The 19,872-nt window shown below is 36.9% G+C and overlaps 1 protein-coding gene across 8 annotated transcripts in view; it reads right to left on the bottom strand.

The window, feature by feature from the left end:
* The window catches only part of ADGRL2 (adhesion G protein-coupled receptor L2), a 687,801-nt gene that overhangs the window by 401,341 nt on the left and 266,588 nt on the right, over positions 1-19,872 (bottom strand). For all 8 annotated transcript variants that reach the window (XM_047416152.1, XM_047416118.1, XM_047416159.1 and 5 more), the window contains one exon: positions 11,612-11,716. The gene's annotated coding sequence lies outside the window, so the exon portion shown is untranslated. The remainder of the gene's footprint in view (positions 1-11,611; positions 11,717-19,872) is intronic.

The raw sequence follows: 19,872 nt of genomic DNA, 5'->3' as shown, positions 1-19,872 counted from the left end.
GTTTCTGCTTTTAGAGATCCCAAGTCAAGTTGAATGACACTAGAAGGGTCCTAAGAAGCTGAGACTAAGCTGAGATTCGGGAGGTGGATGGCAATAAGGCTCTTATCACTGGTGGCAGATGCATTATTGTTAGTCCCTGGCATCATATAGCAGGGAAATTGTTAAGATAAGATCAGGGGTCAGCAAACTATGGCTGTAGGCCAAACCCAACTCACTTCTTTTTGTAAATAACATTTTATCGGAACACATTCATTTAACAATTTTTAGACAGAATTGAGTATTTGAGACAGAGACCATATGATCTCAAAGCCTAAAACATTTACCATCTGGTTCTTTCCAGAAAACATTTGCCTACCTCTGGTTAAAATTTTCACCCATGATCTCAACTGGGTTGAGATATAGGTAGAAGAGGATGTAGTAGCTGATGCAATGTCTCTGGCTTTGAGAGGTATGGGGAAATTGGAACTCTAAAGATATGGCTAATTGTTGCTAAATATCACTGATGCATTAAAGAGATAAAATAACAGGCTGTATTAGATATCTATTGCTTTGTCACAGATTATTACAAGTTAGGCAGCTTAAAACAACACACACTTATTATCTCCATGTTCTTATGGGTCAGGAGTCCAGGGATGTCTTAGTTAAGTCCTCTGCTTTAGAGTATTTTACAAGGCTGCTATCTGGGTACCATCTAAGGCTAGGGTGTCACCAGAAGGCTCAACTGGGGAAGTATCCACTTTCAAGCTTACGTGATTGTTGACAGGATTCAGCTCCTTGTCAACTATTCGCTGAAGGCCATCCTCAGGTTCTTGCCACATGGGGCACTCCAATAGGGCAGATTAATTGATCAAAGCCAGCAAGAGAGGGATTCTGGTAGCAAGAAGGAAGTGACAATCTTATGTAGCTTAATAATGGAAGTGATGTACCGTCACTTTTGTCATATTCTGCTGGTTAAACATAAGTCACAAAGCCAGCCCATATTTAAGGGAGTGGATTACACAATGTCATGAACACTACAAGGCAAGGCTTACTGGGAGCCATCTTAGAGTCTGCTTAATACACAGACTCAGTTCTATTATTTGGCATTTAAAGCAAAATGTGATAGTCAGAAAACCTCATTAGCATCATTTAAAGAGACATTCTTCTCTTGTAGCTAGAAAGCAGACAGGTTTGGAGATCAGGCTCATGGCTCATTTGCAGAAGTGGAAGAACTTTAAAGGAGGCTAAATTCTCAGCCTAAGCAAGCTTCCTGTGCAAAATTTAGGACTCTGAAAAAAAGGAGTAGTACCCTGAAGTTTGGGATAGGGATATCTGAGTAGATGAGCACCTTACAACTACATTGTCCCCTGAACATGTGTGGCTCACAGAAATGGCTAGTAAGCCCCCTTTTCTCTTGTTGGAAGAGAAAGCTTCTTTCATGAAGACTATGCCAAGGTTTCAAATGAGGCAGATGCCTTATAAGACAATCCTCAGATCTGCCTGTACTTTCCCTCATGGAAGTCAGACTGATAATTTGGGCCACATTTCAGCATGACCCAGCTAGGGAATTGATGGCCTGCTAAGGAAGGAAATGAGTTACACACTCCACGTGATATCTAGGACTTGACTGCATGTATGCTCAAAGAGTATGCCTGGGAGTGGATCCTGAGGGTCTTGGCAGAATATAAAGCTATGTAATGGACAGTTTTCTCATATGGGGTTGTTCTGTTGTAACACAGGATTTAATACCTAGCAAAGTCTTACATGATAGGTCTAATGTAAGACTGGGATAGCTCTCGGTAGCTTGGAAAAAGTAATGGGTCACATGAAATGAAGTAGAGATCCTGGCACTATAGTAATAGATTGTGGAGAAAGAAATAAACTAATAAAAAAACTGAGCATGCAAAAATGGGTTTATTATGGAAGATTGAAATATCCATATCTATGTTCCTTAGGAGAGCTTGGAGGACATGCTGTTTATTAACATGATGAAGAATTTGCTGATCAGAGAGATTCCAACATTGTGGAGAAGCACAGTCCTTCTTAAACCAGGGATAGAAGGACATGTGATTAAAAGACTGGGGTCCATTGTAGCAAGGGGGATGGTAGGATTCCTGATTAACAGGGGCCACAGGGAAGCGCTTAATTGTCAGAAGCAAAGTGAGTGCAGTCACCACAATGGGAAACTGGGTTGAAATGGCTGCTGTGTGGGTGGGCGTGGGAACTGTCCTAAGCTATCCATGGAAATGGTTACTATGTGAAAGGGCAAGATAGATGAGTCACCAACAAGGGTATTGGTTCATACACATAATCAAAAGAGATAGAAAATAAGGAGCGAAAGGCTGAGATCGGATGTCTCAATGGAAAGTCATAATTTCTTGCCTTGTCTTCATACCTGAGTGAGTTCTCTTACCCAGAAACTATTGACTGACGGAGATGCTGGGTCTCCATGAGACAGGAACTGCAACATTATAGTAAGTGTGTGACTCTTCAGTTCTTCCCCAAAAGGACCAAGAGTATTTACTCAGAAAACTGCACACTGGAACAAAGGGAATCCTCAGATCTTTTTAGGATTGGTAGATATAAGATATGAGTTGCTGCTGACAGCACCACCATGGGCCGCTTGTTAGAGTATGGTCATGTAAGTGTCAGGAAATAAATGGAGTTCTGATCTAGACTTATTTCACAGTGGTTCTACTGGGTTTACACACTCATTTAATGATCATTTTTCTAGTCCTTGAATGTATAATTGGCATGAGCCAGTTAGAGGTTGATGAATTCTCCCATTGTTTTCTTGATCAACTATTGTACTATCAAAGTGGAAGTCTTTAAAACTATCCTCTATGGTCAAGTTAGTAAATCAAAACCAGTTACCACATCCTGAGGAAAATTGCACAGATTAGTGCAATAAATAAATAAATACTACTTTCATAATAGATAGTCTCAAAGATTTAAAGGATACATAGGTGAAGGTCCTCTATCTGCACATAGCTGAGCAATCTAGACCATACACAAATTAGATGGATCATGGAGTTCTGAGCAGAGTACTGCCAACTGAACAAAGTTGTAGTTTCAATCACAGCTGTTATGCTGCATGTGATATATTTACTAGGGCAAGTTAACCAGATACAAGATATGTGGTTATTGTTCTGGCAAATGTGTTATTTTTAATACCCATTAGGGAGGGGGGATCAGAAGCAGCTTGCATTCATATTGATTAATAACAAGAGTCATGATCTTGTCCCAGGGTTATGTGAGTTCTCCAGCTTGGTCCAAATATAGTCTGTAGGGATTGGGACTGTATAGACATTCTACAGGGCATCATCTTTGTGGACCATATGGATAAAATCATGTTAATTGGACCAAGGAACTCACTTTATAGAAAAGGAGGTATGGCAATGGGCACATGCTCGTGGAGTTCATTGGTCCTACCACATGCTAGCCCAGTTACAGCACCAGCTTAGAGATGGCATCCTATGGGGATAAGTATTATCTTTTGGAGTATAGTGTGCACTTTAAAGCAACAGATACTATATGGTTCTCTGTCCTCAATGATTAGAATACATGAGCACAGGAATCAAAGAGTAAAAATAAGAACTCCACTCAACCATCACTCTCAGGGACCCATTCCTGCAACTTCAGGTTTTGAGTCTAGAGGTCCTAAGTCCCACAGGAGGGAAACTTCCACCTAGGGGATCTAGGAAAAGTCTCAGTAAACTTAAAGCTATGGATATTGCCAGATTACTTTGAGCTCCTTATGCCAATAGACTAGCGGGCACAAAAAGTTACTGTATTGGCAGGATAAATGACCTGATTATCAGGAGGAGTCAGAAATGCTGCTACATGTTAGAGACAGGGAGCAATGTGTTTGTCACTCAAGTGATCTGTTGAGCCGCATCTTGGTATTCCCATGCCTTGTTTAACTGTAACAGGCAAGTACAGCAACCATAACCAGATTAGGGCCTGGTAATCAGGTGCTTAGACTCCTAAGTTATGAGAATGTGGTTTATGCCTTCAGACAATCCATCTAGACCTGCAGAAGTAGTCACCCATAAGGAGGAACATCTGGAAGAGTGATGAAGGGGTAGATGATGATTATGTTACGGGCTTGGGACACACTGCAGCAGTGGAAGCTACAGTTTGATTTACTCATCTTTATCTTATACAGGAGCCCAGGACATGTGACTAACCAGAATCCTGAAGTTGTTGTGCCTGAATGGAGTAAACTAAATGTCAGAAGCAAGTGGTTCTGAGGAGTGCAAGGGGTGGCCTGCAGTGGCTGCTATTGGCATCCTTCTTGTTCCCCAGCGGCTGTAAGTGTTTTTGGCTGCTAACAGCTCATAGCTCTCTCCTTCCCAAAGATTAGCCCTCAGCCGAACCAAGCTAACTTACCTGAGAATTATCCTCCCTGGGGATAAGAGGAGCTAACTCTGTGGTACAATATGTGCTCTAGAGCTCCCCAAAGGAGCAGGCTCAGCTAAGGCCAGTTTTCATCCTTCTTAGCTACCTTCTTCCCTGCTTCTGCCTATTCTGCTCCTCTTGTTTCCCTCCACCCAAGAGCACTCCCTTTGTAAATCATTTTCAGAACAACTTTACTCTTGGTCCCTGCTTCTAGGGATTCTGACTTAAGCACCCATCTTCTACTATTAACTATACTGGAAACATGTTTTTTCTACCCATATCACTCTGACCCAAACCCGATAGTATGCACATGAAAGGTTGTATGTATTGAGGTTGCCAGTTTTGTTTTGTTTTTAATTATACCTCCTAAACCTAAAATCCCTCCTTAATTTATTTTCACAGCAAAGGCTCACATTTTCAATTCTCAATCTCTCTATAACTCATAAAAACGATTCTATTCTTGTCATTCTCCAAGCCTTCCTCTATACTGATGCCAGCTATTTTTTAAAGCACGATTCTTATCATGTTACTCCCCTGCTTAAACATTTTGGTGACTTTCCACTGCTTCCTGGATGGAGTCCCCACTCTTTAGCATAACATGCAAGGCTTTGTTTATTGGGCTGCAATTTGGAGCTGAATTATGATAGACTCTTCCTCCTACCACACAGCCTGTATACCATATGCTATAGTCATAGTCAACAACTTCTTCTTCCCTGAATAAGACATGCTTTGGTTTCAATCTACATTATTTCTTCTGCCTGGAATGGCCACTTCTTCCTTTTCTGCTTGATGAATACCTACTTATACTTTAAGATGCAGCTTAATTTATTAACTTTTTTGTGAAATTATTATTCACCAATCCAATACCTCTTTCCAAACTCAAAGAGGTATTAATAACTCCCTTCTTTGTCTTCTCATAGCACTAAGTACACACTTGTATTATGATGCTTGTCATATTCTTTGTTATTGTTTATTAACATGTTTTTCACTTCCACACAACTTTGAATGTTCTAAGAATCATGTGATTTGTCTTTGTACCTCTACTATCTCTCATATGGCTTAGCATTGTTCTTAAATAATGTATATTAATTGAAGGAAGAACTTGTCTTGTTCTTAGATAGCTTCGCAGTCTGACAAGTTGATTGGTTCTCTCCTTGCTCCTGTCTTCAGTCATTTTCCTCTTGTTGGCGATTTTGAAACTGAAGAGTCTCTGGACAGCTGTCTGTTCACCTAAGTCTAATGACACTCCACAGCGTCAGTCCATCACTGCTTGAATTATATAACTTTCCCTCTATGCACTCAAATACATTCATGCTCCCTGTGATTTGTAACAAAGGAGGGTTAAGAAATAAACTTTTAGCTTGGTGACATAAATGCAAGCTAACATTTTCTCCCTCTTTGAAGGTGGTAGGAAGTAAGGAGAAAGTGAGAGAAAATTGCTTGACAAGTAAATAAATCCCCACCTCCTTCATAACTTCCTCTCTGTGCTGTACTCACTCTGAATGCCAATTTAATTGGTCAGTTTTTCTGCCTCATCTAGACTTACATACAAGCCGAAAGTGATGCTTTTTACATTTTTAGCTTTTTCTAAATAAAATTATTTCTTTACATTTTTGAGGGGCTGGGTTGTGAATCTCACCTAAGGGAGTTCAAATAAACATATTTTTTCAAACCCAGTATATTATTAAAAGTTGTATTAGTGATCCTTGATTAAACTAGAAGGTAAAAACGATAATAAAAAGGCCCTGCATTATAGCAAACACAATGGTTAATGTGGCATAAATCATGGTTATGAGACTCTGGCCTAATAATATTCATTTTTTTTTTCCTCCAGCCACATTCTCAGCCTCAGCTCCTTCATCTCCCTCTGACTTCAAAGGAATCTCTGCATGAAGAAGGAGGGCGCACAATAGAAGAATTGGCCCGATTATCCCCTTCTGTTTGGAAATGGGTGAAGATTACAGATATGTTTTACTTCTTCCTGTGCTTTGGACTATATGATGTCAACTACCTTAAGCAAAACCCTCTACCCTGGCTAATATATAGATTTGGATTATACCAAAATTGCCTAAAATTGGAAACAAGACATTAATAATAATCTGTAATGGTGTAACATAATAGAATACATGTTTATTTTCATTGGCTTTAGCTGGTATTAAAAAAAGGTAAATTAGTTTGGAGATGTAAATTTTATATTTATTATATCCTGACCTTTTTGCTCATCCTCTACCACTTTATATTATGAATGAGATAATTAAAAAGAGTCCACTTATTTTTTGTTCTGCTATAGCACATTTTTGCTTCCTTAAATGTGTTTGTGTGTATGTGAATGTGTGTGTGTGTGTGTTGTGTGCATTTATTATTTTAACCAAAGTGTGAAAATGAAGTTGTAATGCTAAAGGCCAAAGGAATGAATTAAACTGACCTGTTAATTAAAAGACCGTGCTTGAAGTATTAACCAGGAACCACTGTTGGACTTTTCATCCTCAACCCAAAATGAGAAGGCAAGCACAATAATCCCACATCACCTCTGGAAATTATGTCAGGAAATGTTTTCTCAGAGTCAGCTACTGGTCAAGACTTACATCAAGTTAAACAAAATAATGAAGGATCAGGGATTCTAGAAGGGCCAAAAGTTCGAACAGGAGACCTTTAACCCCTTTGCCTGCAATGCATAATAATACTTCCTGTTTGTTTGATATGTCCTTACCATACTCTGAAAGAACAAACACTTATAATTTCCATATTAGGGACTAAGTCTTCTGTCCCCACCCTTCCTGTTTAGGATTATTTTCCACAGAAGTGAATCAATGCAGTTTGAACTACAGAATGAATATGACAACAAGAACAAAAAACCCAAATAGACCAATCTACCTAAAGCCATGTCTTATTAAACTTCCAGAATATTTGGGAGTGTCCATACTACGAAATAATTACATATAACTATATATGAATTTAACTAAGGTTGGCTTGAAGTTTAAAATGTCTTTAATAAAAACTCCGCTTTCCTTATGTGAGTCTAGATAGATCATACAGTTTAAGATTCACCAACAAAAGCTTGTAGCAATAACAATAGTGGGAGACTTGACTTCTAAAAACAGCTCTTTCCTTTTAGCTATTTCTGCCCACAAATACAGTTGATTGCAGGTAAGTAACATGTAAGTATTTTTATCATTACTAAAAGAGTTTGGACATATATAAAATATAAAGGAATTTTAAAATTAATTGATTGTTGTGTTAAGCCTCCAGCTTTAGTGGCTTGTCATTATTTTTCAGCCAGCGCTTAGGATTTACTTCCTAATGCCCCAAGAAAATAGAGCAAGAAACTTGAACACAAACCTTTCCACCAGGTAACTCTAGAGTTTATAAGCAGCAATGAATGACATTTCCTCGGGAAAATCTTAGAAGTTATCACTGTTGCTCTTTTTATTAATCCATGTTTAACCTGAAGCTAGAAACTACGTCCCTTTTATTTCCGTCTCCAGAATTTGTATTGCCAACTGTGCTATGTTGAAGTTTATATGACAGGCCATTTCAACACTTTTGTTTAGTTAAATAGGAGTGCATCACTTTTAAAGAAAAGCGCGATTGCCAAAAAATATAAACAGCCCTAACTTTGATTAATATAAATATTTTAAAACCAGAACATTCTGTTACATCTTACAAAAACAATTCGGATGTAGCTGATGGGAAAGAAAAAGTGCTTTCATACATTAGACAAATCCAACAAAATACAGCTGCAGACCAAATTTTAAGTAAATACGAATTGTTTGTCTTTTCAAAGGGCTATGGTATTTACTTAAATGGAGTTATTTTAGAGTACTTTATGTTTCATTAGTAAAAATGAAAGTTTTAAAGATAGTTTTATTTTTGAAGTATCCCATTTAAGTTCCAAGTCCTCTAATTTAAAAATACCATTAAAATTACTCCCCCTGCCCAGTGAGGGTTATTTGCTAATAAGCCACTGGACAAGAGATGTGTGAAGTGAATAGATGAAGAAAAACGTTGACAGCAAAAGGGAGGTCTAGGGGGTGAAGTTAGTTTATTAGGCCCTGTTTGTCACGAATGGCCCTGCTGCACATATAAAAGCAAATCCCTCTACCTTAGAAGATTAATTCTGAAGGAGGCACTCTTAGGTCAAAGTATACATAAGCGTGTGCCTAATCTCAGAGAAATCAGGCTATTTTCTCATAGCAATTAAGCAGAGGTCTGGGGTTTCACCCACAGTGTATTTAAACACAGGATACAATTAAACCCCAACGTATTAATATCTTTGCTCTGCAAAATTACCCAGGAAATAGATTTTGCCCTCTTTCAAATGAAAAGCAAGTCAAGTTAAGAGAATAACTTGATTCTTAGCTAAGTTGCTTGAAATAAGAGTATCATAATTTCTTCTAATTGCAAATGTCTTATAGACAGAGGTAATTCTTACTTTACAATAGGGTAAGAGTTATAAGCTTTCTAGTTCCTTTAATCTAAATAGCAAACCTTAGAAGTGTGCTTGAAAACGTATTGTTTTCAAACTGTAATTAAAATTCTGACACAACATATGTAAAAAATCAAATCATAAAAATCTGAGAACTCACTATTTACCACCAACAAAATATCTTCAATGGGGAGGAGCTTTGCAACCAACGTGAAGAGTAAAATAAGTAAACGTAAATCTTAAGCAGTCAAGTGTCTGGAAGGGATTGCTTTCTATAGAGGTTTTTCTTCAAGTTATTTTATTCATATACTCATCTCAAAGAGTGAACCTTCTAGGGAAAATTATAGCCAGTTTAAAATATTGCTTCACAAAGAAAAAAAAACAACAAACAACTTTTATTCATTGTACATCAGTTCCCTAAAGGCAAAAATTTTTTAATAGTATAAAAGTTATATTAAATGAACTACCACCTTTATTCAGATCTTGAACAAAATAACCTTTCAGGTACTAAAAGAGTTTTAGTAGAAATATTGTTACTTCTACATATCAAGTTAATATTCCAATTTATTGCCAAACCAAATTCTCTTTGGTTTTTTTAGAGAATAGTAGGGGAAGGAAGTTGGTCTTGGAATAGGAAAGGATATAAGTTTATAGTTTGTCCTTTACATGGCTGAATCAATAGTTTTTTCTTTTGTATAGGAGTTTCTAGTAAGATAGTTGTTGGTGTACGGTATAACAGAATATCCAGTGAGAAATCCTCTAACCCATGACACATGGGAGTGTTCTTATACATTAATAAAACTGAAAGAATGAAGCAAAATAGGATGAATCAGATGTGGGAGAGAGTGGGTTGTGTGTTGTGTGTTGGGGGTGGCTGTGTGGTTGCCAAGGTATTTTCCCATCTAACACTCCACTGTTGCTTTTAAGAGGAGCTGAGTACTTAAGGTAAAGTGCACGAGGCAATGTGTCTTTGAAAGCACACTATAAATAGTTTAGGCACTTTTTTGATGTGTGGTGGGGTATGTGAGAAGGCATGCAATCTGAATTTTACGAAGGATTGTTTTTATAGGACCAATGACTTTAATAGTACTTGCTGACATCATTGGCAAATTGGTCTATTCTGTAACCTTTAAAATTGCAGCATATCCCAAAATGAGTTACTTATTAAACAGATGTTCTTTTTTTTTTTGAGTGCAATTGACCTTTAAATGATTATTTCTCAGCACTTGCAACAAAGAATCTCACCTCTCACCTTTATACTTTTGATGCTACAGTGAGTGAATCCATAACCTTTTCAAAACATGTAAGGAACATGCCACACAACATGGAATTACAATCACTAACGAGCACTTTTTCTTTTAAGGGGGAGTCTTTTTACTTATTATTAAATTATTGCAATACACAGAAGCCATGCAAAAGTATAAAAATAGTTATTTTGATCAATCGGCAACCATTTTAGAAAATATTAACTCCAAAAACACCAAAGAATAATTTACTGCTAATGACAAGTTTCTACTGAAGTTTTCTCCCCTTAACATATTTTTAACTAAAAAAAAAATTTTTTTTGAGACAGAGTCTCACTCTGTCTCCCAGCCTGGAGTGTAGTGGCGTGATCTTGGCTCACCGCAAGCTCCACCTCCTGGGTTCAAATGATTCTCCTGTCTTAGCCTACCCAGGAGCTGGGGTTACAGGTATGCGCCACCACGCCTGGCTAATTTTGTATTTTTAGTAGAGACAGGGTTTCACCATGTTGGCCAGGCTGGTCTCAAACCCCTGACCTCAGGTGATCTGCCCACCTTGGCCTCCCAAAGTTCTAGGGTTATAGGTGTGAGCCACCATGCCTGTCCTGTTTCCCCTTAACTTCTGAGGCAGGGGTGTGTGTGTGTGTGTGTGTGTGTGTGTGTGTGTGTGCGCGCATGTGTGTGGTGGTGGGAGGTTAAATACCGTATTTGATTGGAAAAGCTTTGTCTTGAAAGTTCAGGCACTTATGCAATATTTGTAGGCAATTTGGTTTAAACCTACATGCAACTAGCACAGTACCCCTTTCCACTAACCAGAAGGAAATGCTTTGAAACTCCAGAAGTATTGATGAAATATATATCATGTAATATTAGAGATTTTAAGATTGTGCTTTCCTCAGAAACACACACATTTGTAAAGATGAAATGAGTATAATCAAGTCGTGGTTATCCTTAATTAAGTGGAGATGGCAATTATAAACGTTATTCTTTAGGAATCAAATCAAATCTAACACATATTTAGACGAGCTAATGCTTTCTGGGATCTTTTTACATTAGTAAAGATATCCACATTACTTTAAGTCCCAATGACCTTTTCTTGAGTAGATAACCTAGTTTACTCTTTAGTGGAGCTGCTGAATCTGATAAAGATTTCATTAGCTTAAATATTTTCCCGCTTAAAGAAACTGATATTCCAATCTTGAAAAATTCCAAGGAAAAGTTTTTGATTTGAAGGATGAAAACACCATAACAAGCTAGTAGTTTTTACTTTACATACATTTTACTATAACATTAATGTACAAATACCTGCTTATGTTCAAGAATAAACTTTTTTTCTTGCAAAGCTGACCTTATTTGTAAAATACTGTTTTAGAAAGGTGTTGGAGTGACTCATAAAATATTTAAGTATCAACCCTCTACAGAATAAAAAGGCATTTTTCACTTGTGTGTTCTCTTTTTCCCACATCTTTTACAAAAGGAGCATATTGGAATGAATTACAGAAAAATCTGAGAAAATTTTTCTTAAATAATGAAAAACAATTGTTTGGAAGGAATGTTCACTCACAGTTTTCTTTTCGGCTCTGATTTGGTAATGTTTTGTAAAGCATAAGGACAGCCACAAGCCTTCATTGGAGAAATCAAAATTAATGTCCTTTGGAAACATTGGGCTCTAAAAGAAAAGGAAAATAATAACAGATATATGACATACTTGGCTCCCTTTAGTTTAATTTCGAAAAAGGCAAATTAGGTATTATACTGGCATGTAATCACAAAGAAAAATGCACAGACTTAAAAGTAAACCGACTCATTGTCAAGACTTCCAGAGTCTTATTCATTCATTGTGGTGGCTGCTGACAAACAACAGAAGGAAATCAACAATGCTGGATAACATAATCATCAAGGGCTTCTATGTCTGTAAGCCATTTAAATTCTTGACATTGAATATTTATAGTGAGTGATACTCCTTTAACATAGACCATATTTCAGTCAGCTCTCAGCACTCCTGACCTTTCATACCCACATCCCCCTTGGCTTCATCAAGGCCCCCTCTAGCATCACGCCTGTTCAAAAACTGGGCACCCAGCATCACTGGCAGTTTCTCAAGTGCCCACTCACTTTTCAATACCCCTGTTTTCTCTTAACACCAGTTCAGCATCAATATACTATCTGCCCTTTCACAGGCAGCCCCCGAGACACAGTTGTGTTTATTTTGTACTTATCAATACAATGTAAATCAGCATGGGCATACCTCCTTGGGGTTAGTGAACCTACCTTGTCTGTGAGCACAGACAGCACTTTGGTCACAGATGTGAATGGTTAACTGTACAAGCAAGGAGGATAAATCCACATCACAATACTTCATTCACCAAGGAAATCTGCAGTGGATTACGGCTTCTCTATGGTTAAGTCTGGTCTTAATTTACCGCTTTTATTCAGTTTTCAACCACAAACGAGCCCCTTATGAGGCATTCACTATGTAGAATTGACAACTCTTTTTATCTACTTGAAAAATATTTTTGGATAATAATTTATGGTTACAAAATATTTTAAGCAGTTTGAATAGTTTTATTATATTCTTTCCATGCTTAACGATGCAGTATCCCCTGTAAAAATGGAATGCCAGGTAATCTGGTAATTTTACGTACAGTATTTATAACAACAGAGCAATTTGGCCATATAGAAACACAAATGTAAAAAAAAAAGCTGTGCATATCTCATAGGAAGTCTTTTAAATACTTTTTTTTAAAGATCTTAAATTGCATCTCAGGAGAAAATCAGAGTTCAGAACAGTGTCTAAAGGCCCTATATATAGGTAAAAAAATAATTTTGGCAAGCACTGTATTTTATTTATGGGTTATGATGCTTAAAATAGCATATTCTGAACACCCTTCAGAAGGAAAAAAAGCTGCAGATGCCTCTGAAGACACAAGGGAGAATTCATATGCTGTTTATATTTTATACATGAAACCAAAATGTGTCGGTAGGTTTGCACTTTTTCACCATCAAATATATTCTCTTAATTTATATTCTGAATTAATGCTGTCTTTAAAAAATCCATTTGAAGATCTTCATTATTATTGGGCATGGAGTAGTTTTCAAGGTCTGATTGCCAGTAACTGGAACTACTCTAGAAATCCCCGATAGGCTGAAAACACATAACATACCTGTAATAAGTAGCAAGTGCCAGGATCAGTTTGTCATTTTAGATACACATCCCCTCGTATTGCCAAACAGTGATCTTGTAACTGGAAATAGAACCCATGTAAATAAGATGGAATGTATTATATACATGGAGACAATGGAAGCAGCATGGTTGATGCTCTTTGAGTTGATAGAGTTCCTTTTGCATTGCTTTAGCTTAAACCATGGATACACAAAGCTTTGTAACTTTCCCCTTGGTGGAATTTGAGCACTTTCAGACTCATTGATAGTAAGAGATTCTTCCCATTGCAGAATGAACTCCCCATAGGTAAACAAAGGAAAACATTCAACTGAGGTACTAGCTGTGTTTTCCTCATTAGTGGCTACACTGTTCTGAGCAGGGAATGAGTGTTTGGGGAAAAGCATCCTTGGCATTAACAAGAAGGAGAGGACATTGCTTTTACAAGGAGGAATATTTTATATGATTTTCTAAAACATCTCTCTTCAAGTGCCATATGTAAATCATATTTTTTAAAAAAACCAAATTATGCTTGTGCTTCGGGGGGAACTACATAAATGTGCAATAGAAAAATAATGAACTGTATCACTTTGGTTAGCTAACCAATTATTGCCTGTTTATAGACTCAGGTGCTGTTTGAGTTGCATCATAAAAACAGATGGGGTTTGTTGTTTGTTGTTTTCACTGGTTTGAAATTTTGCTCAAAAAAATTTTTTTAAATACTATCATTCTTATTATTTTAGAACTTGGAGTATTCTGCTTTTTAATCTGGTAGCTAGATTTCATTACCTTAATAGATATTCTAATGAAGGTGTAAAAGAAAAGGTTAAAAAGGAGATAAATTAGGTGGTGGAAGCATCAGATTCAAATGCCACTTAATATAATTCCTAAATCATTTATATTAAAATTGTTTCATTAACAGTATTACAACCACCCTCTGTTCAAACACATTAAAATATAGATAAGAACAACTTTAGTAGTGGATTATAGAAGCTAGGAATTAGGATGACAGCGATGAGCTAGATTTGTCTGTCCAGGCAAAAATAGTTTCCAATCACTAGTCATGGATCAATGAATAACAGATTCCCTGTGAATATTTGGTACGTTCTCTCTGATCTTCCTATACCTGTGTACCTGGATACCAGTCTCATTTTTCCTTCCTCTTTCTGACAAGCATTACCTGTGAGATAAGAGTGGGAGGGTCGTTTAACAATGAATTTCCCCATTGTATAACTATTACAAAGCTATCCAAACTAACTAACTTGTTGTTTTCTAAGTCACTGTGCAATTTCAAGGTTTTAATGGTGCTTAAAATATAATACCCTGTGTCATTTATTTCTTGAAATGAAAGCTAGTGCCAGCCTTTGGAATTCATGTAAAACAAGTGGTTCAATATGGTTTGAAGAGAGAATGAAAACTTGATAAGCAATTAATCTACTTTAAATGCTTTCCTAATGGTTTGCACCTTTTCTTACTGATTTTTAAAAAATTCAGATTTATTCAGAAGAAAATCAAATTAAACATACATCCAAATTTTTGTATAGCACATTTGTTAGAGTGAAACCCACACACACAGTGAGGCAGGAAAGATTGAATATTTAAATAATTTGAAAATAAAGGTGTGCCTGGTTAAACAGTATCAACTTGAATTTTTTGCCTAGTGCTTTGAAACTATGGGAAATATTTGAAATGGGAAACTGGTACATGAGCATAGAGAAGGGGCTAATTTCCTAACAATAATCCTGTGAGTGACATTTGGTTTGGGAAAGGAAAGTGTCCTGTCTGACTGCTGGTTTGCAGAGGCGAAGGCTTAAGAGTTAGGACAAGCCAGAGGCATCACTGTGACTCCAAGGCACAGCTACAAAACAGAGCTGAGTCTGGTTGATATGTCTGCCTGTCAGTGTATCACCAAGGAGACTAGCGAGACATTAGAGAAAACTCACCAGCAATGTCATATTGTCTGAGAGACAATGCACACACAGAGAAGACCTTTGTGGGAAAACCACGTGAAACATACAGAATTAAGATGTAAGGTAGAAGGACTCAAGGAGTACAAGAGTAGAAGGGGATGAAAGCAGGGACTGCATCTCAATGGTGAGTGTGGCCAAGAGAACTAGAGCCCAGCCTAAATTCACACAGGATATCAAGAGTCGCATGCTACCGATGAAAACATCATGACGTTTCCAACTCAGCAGAGATAGTGCCTGTCCCCCAGTCAGCATTGTGGTGCAGGGCACAAATGACAAGTCCAAAGAGAGGAAAATCAATGAAAGGTTGAAGAGTTACCAGAGTAGAATTAATAGGGACAGTAATAGAATCAGAAAGCTTGCTCTTGAGTAAACGTGGAAGGATTCTCAGGAGCTTCTGAAAGCAAAGCTACTTCAAGAGATTGCTTATAGAAAAATGATAACCATGCTTGAAAGGACAAACATGGGATCCAACAACATGATGTCTATGTCCCAGACTAGGACTGAGACTGAGATCATGTCTTTCTATTTTTTAGTGAGAAAGTACTGGAAGTTAAAGAAAAACTTATCATAAACTTTATAAAAAACTCATAAAACTTATGCAACAAGTATGATAATTCATACACATATACATACATATATATGCGCAAATGCCTAAATTAATTGCTTGGTAAACATATTGCTTTACTGAAATTTTTAGTTAAGAAGAAGAACACTGGTTGCCAATGTTGCAAGCTGCAGAACACTTACTCTGGTGCCATGGAGAGAAACCTGAAATGTGGGTGCGCCGAACTAAACATTCCACCACATTTTTGGCACCTAGCAAAGACTGGCCTTGATTGAATCTGCTGCACACCCGGTAACCCAGATAAATACTACATGCATGTCTTCTGAATGGGGGTAGCCTCTGATTTGAGTATTGCCAAGTAACCCAATTTTAGAATAGCACAAGTTTTAATTATATGTTTCATTTAACTGGCACCTGTCCTTGGAGGCTGTCATTAAAATCTAAAAAGCTATGATGTAGGAACTATTATTATTTATGATTTAGAGGGAAGCAAAAATAAATAAAGAGAGAAAGAAGAAAAGAAAGCAGAAAAGCTGAGAGGTTTAGAGGAGTGGTAGAAGTGGAAGACTCAAAATTCCACTGGTGAAAAAGAGCAACATTTTAATTACCTAGAAAACTGATAGAAAACAAAAACCCAGATCATTGAATTTTTGGTGTTTGAGGTGTGAGTTTACTAAATACCCACCTCATCCACCACTTCATGTTGTGTGTAGGGTGCACCTGTCTTTTCCTGGGTAAACTGAAAAGCAAAAACCTCTTAAATAAAATGCTTAATCCTGAGATAGAGATTTTATAAAATAAGTTCCATCAATTTTTAAATCCCATACTATTTCATCTGTTGAAGAAGAGAATTCTGAAGGGAAAGGGGTTGAGATAAAGATGAAACAAAATGGATAATGTGTTGCTAATCAGTGATGTGAAGTAGTGGGTACATGGGGTTTTATTATGCTATTCTGTGTAGTATAAATTTGGAATTTTCCTTACTAAAAAGTTAAAAGAAATTCAATTTAGAGAAGCATCCAGATACTATGCGTATTTATTTGGGTAAATTAATTCATTTTATACTGCAGAATTTGGCCATAAACACAAGAACAGAACATCTTATATTAATTATATTATATTCCTATATTTACATTAATGATCTCACTGTAACTATACCAACTTCTCCAAAAACCAAGAAACAAAAAAAATCTGTATGTATTTTTCTATTCTCTGAATTTACAAGCAGGCATTTTATAACAGTCCTGGGTTTCCAGACTAAATGCCAAAATATGCTTCCCGTTTAAATTCAACTTTAACTAAAAATAATTAGCCCTTGCTCCTAATTCTAATGGAAATGTAAGACTCTTGATCATTCAGTGATAGTAGCACTATTAGATACTGCCGCTAACAGTGATTTATACGAAATGATTAGCAGACTGTTTCTCTTGTGGGTATGTGCATAATTTGTCCTAAACCAAAGGCAAAACAATAGTAAAAACTACTGCTTTTTAACCTTTCCGTGAATTTAAATTAAAAAATGTGTACTGGAACTACACATTAATAAGACCTATTAAGCTTAGAAGAATATTTTACATTCATCTGTACTTCATCAGACAAGTTCGTGACCTCAGCAGAATTACTATAGCTCCTGCAGTTTTTAAACCGGCATGGGGGAAGACACGAAACATTATTTTATAATCAGAAAATTTTACTAGAATTGACAGAAATAAGAAAACACACTTTGCCATTGAGTATGTGTTTTGAAATTAGTCCATATAAAACTAAAGGTATTGTATGGATTGACTTTTAATCCTCTAGCTACTTTAAACAGAAGCAACTAAAGAGAGGTAAGTATAATGCCATAGTTTTATGTTTAATGTAGGAAATTTAGGCGCTAGCCTCTACTTTGCAGCTGGAAGTACACACAGAGGGGAGCTACGAGCTTTATTTCACAATATTCTAAGGTATCTGGTAATGACAAAAGTATATAATGTTTCTCATTAAGATTTTTGTTTTCTTCGCTAAATGGCATTTATTTTGGAAGTTTCCTAATGTTCAAGTTTGTCCTGCTTTCCCTCAAATTTCCTGTTGAATGACATTGTGTGAAAGCTGTTACTATTCAAGGTACTGCTGCTAGTGAAGGTCCCACTAAAGCAGTGAAATGAGTCCAGTTGCATCTCCACCACGCAGCCTGAGAAAATTTTATCCACAGAGCTGATTCATGCTACTTCTTTGGATCTGCTACTGGCAGCACAATAAGAGATGAATGAAATAAGCACTCAGCAGCTGAATGCCCTTAAAGACCACTTGGGAACTTTATTTGGTGCCAAATAAAGTGACCAGCCAGTGTCAGCTGCGGGAAGCATATTGTACTGGGCTCTGCAGTCTGTCCCAGTTGCCCATTCATTTCTGAGGAAATTTTCAGGTATTGAATTTTAATCCATGATGCCCAATTATAATCTGGGACCCTTTTACACTAGAGGCTGGGCTTCACCCCATTTGGCAATTAAGTCAGAGCTGCCTAACACATGATTTTAATTTCCGGAAAGCAGGTGCTTCCTTTGGTCAGTCACCAATCTCTGATTTTTCCTCCTTCTGCAGCTTAAACCACTTTCATTTTCATCCTCCCCCTCCCCCTCCCCCACCACCCACTTCTATAAGTATTCACTGCATGTTAGATAGTTTTCCTGCTTAAGCCTATAGGAATTCCCTTAGGCTTATTTTGCAAGTACTTGCAACTTAAAAAAAAATTCATTTTTAGGTGTCTGTTTGATATCCACTTTGTAATAACTTACTATAATGCTTTTCCAACTAATCTGAATAAAGGCATGTTTACAACATTTTCTAACACTTGCAATTATGAAGCAGACGCCCCAGGAATAGCTACTGTCTGTATTAACTTTCTTTGTCTCCTATTTTTACCAATTCAATTAGAGACTTCTCTAACAATTGAAAAACTATTGTTGTCTGAGTCTTTGAGACTATGTGTCTTCTCCAACCAGTATTTAATCATATAAAATAAGACTTGGTAGATCACCTTATAATAAGAGAAACTCAAATATAAGGATTCAAATATGAGGTGCCTGATGTGGAGGCAAATACTGCACAAGTCAAATCCTATCTCAAAAGTTCTCCTCCACACACATGCACTAACATGGCGTGATCTTATCTTTCAAAACCACTTTGTACGGGATAGAGCCAGTACCAGTAGAGCCAGTAGAGAGGAAACTGGGAAATCAGAGGTCAGTCTGTGCCAACAGGGGACAGCTTCTTTATCCCTTCCATTGCTATGAATGAGCTGCCTACTTCACTATTTTCATTCCCACACATGAATTATAAAATACTATTGCAATAGTATTGCTGGGATGGCTATTAGTAGGGTTAAATTTAAATCTTTGGTGATCATAGACAGACCTATGTCATTGAGAAGGAGTTAAGTAAAAGGGAGAGGAAGCAAAGAAACAGAGTGGGAAAGGGAAAATAAGTTATAAAGAAACAAGGAGAGGAAAAAGGTTAAGGAAGGGGGAAGAAAAGAAGGTGCCTAACCTGGGGACATCAGTTTGCTTCATCTACTCGTCTTTTGGCTGTCCTCTGCAAGCTGAGATCACAGACTCCTCTGCTTCCTATCTGGACTCTCCTGAATTCTGTCACATAATTAGCCAAGGATTAGCAAAACCTGATAGCCTTTAATAGGATCCCAGGGAAATGCTTCTTTAAAAAAGAACAAATCAACTAAATTCTGAATTTGAAAGATATTAAATTAGAGAGTTTTGCAAAAATACTCTCTTGCATAACAAAAGGATTTATTTAATATTTCACTTAAAGAGTTAGCCCTCCTAGATTATAATGAATATGATTTGATTAAAACCTGTGAAATTGTTATTGGTAATATTTCTCAAACTATATTTGGTAGTATTTGTCAAACTACGTTCCCATAAACATTCACGCCCTACTAGATATTAAGTGACACTTTCTTTAAAAAGCATACCCTTATCAAATACATTTCAAAACACTGCAAATCATATTTGCCCTCTGAGTGAGTCACAATGCTTATTACCATATTATAAGTGCTGAAAAGTTCTACAGTGAAAAAAGAAATCTGTTTAATTTTGTTGAACCCAGCATTTTGCAAAATAATTTGGCCAGGA

Source organism: Homo sapiens, chromosome 1 (genome assembly GCF_000001405.40).
Source record: "Homo sapiens chromosome 1, GRCh38.p14 Primary Assembly".
NCBI lineage: Eukaryota > Metazoa > Chordata > Mammalia > Primates > Hominidae > Homo > Homo sapiens.
Note: the sequence above shows the minus strand (reverse complement) of the source record. Positions and strands in the feature narration are given on the sequence as shown.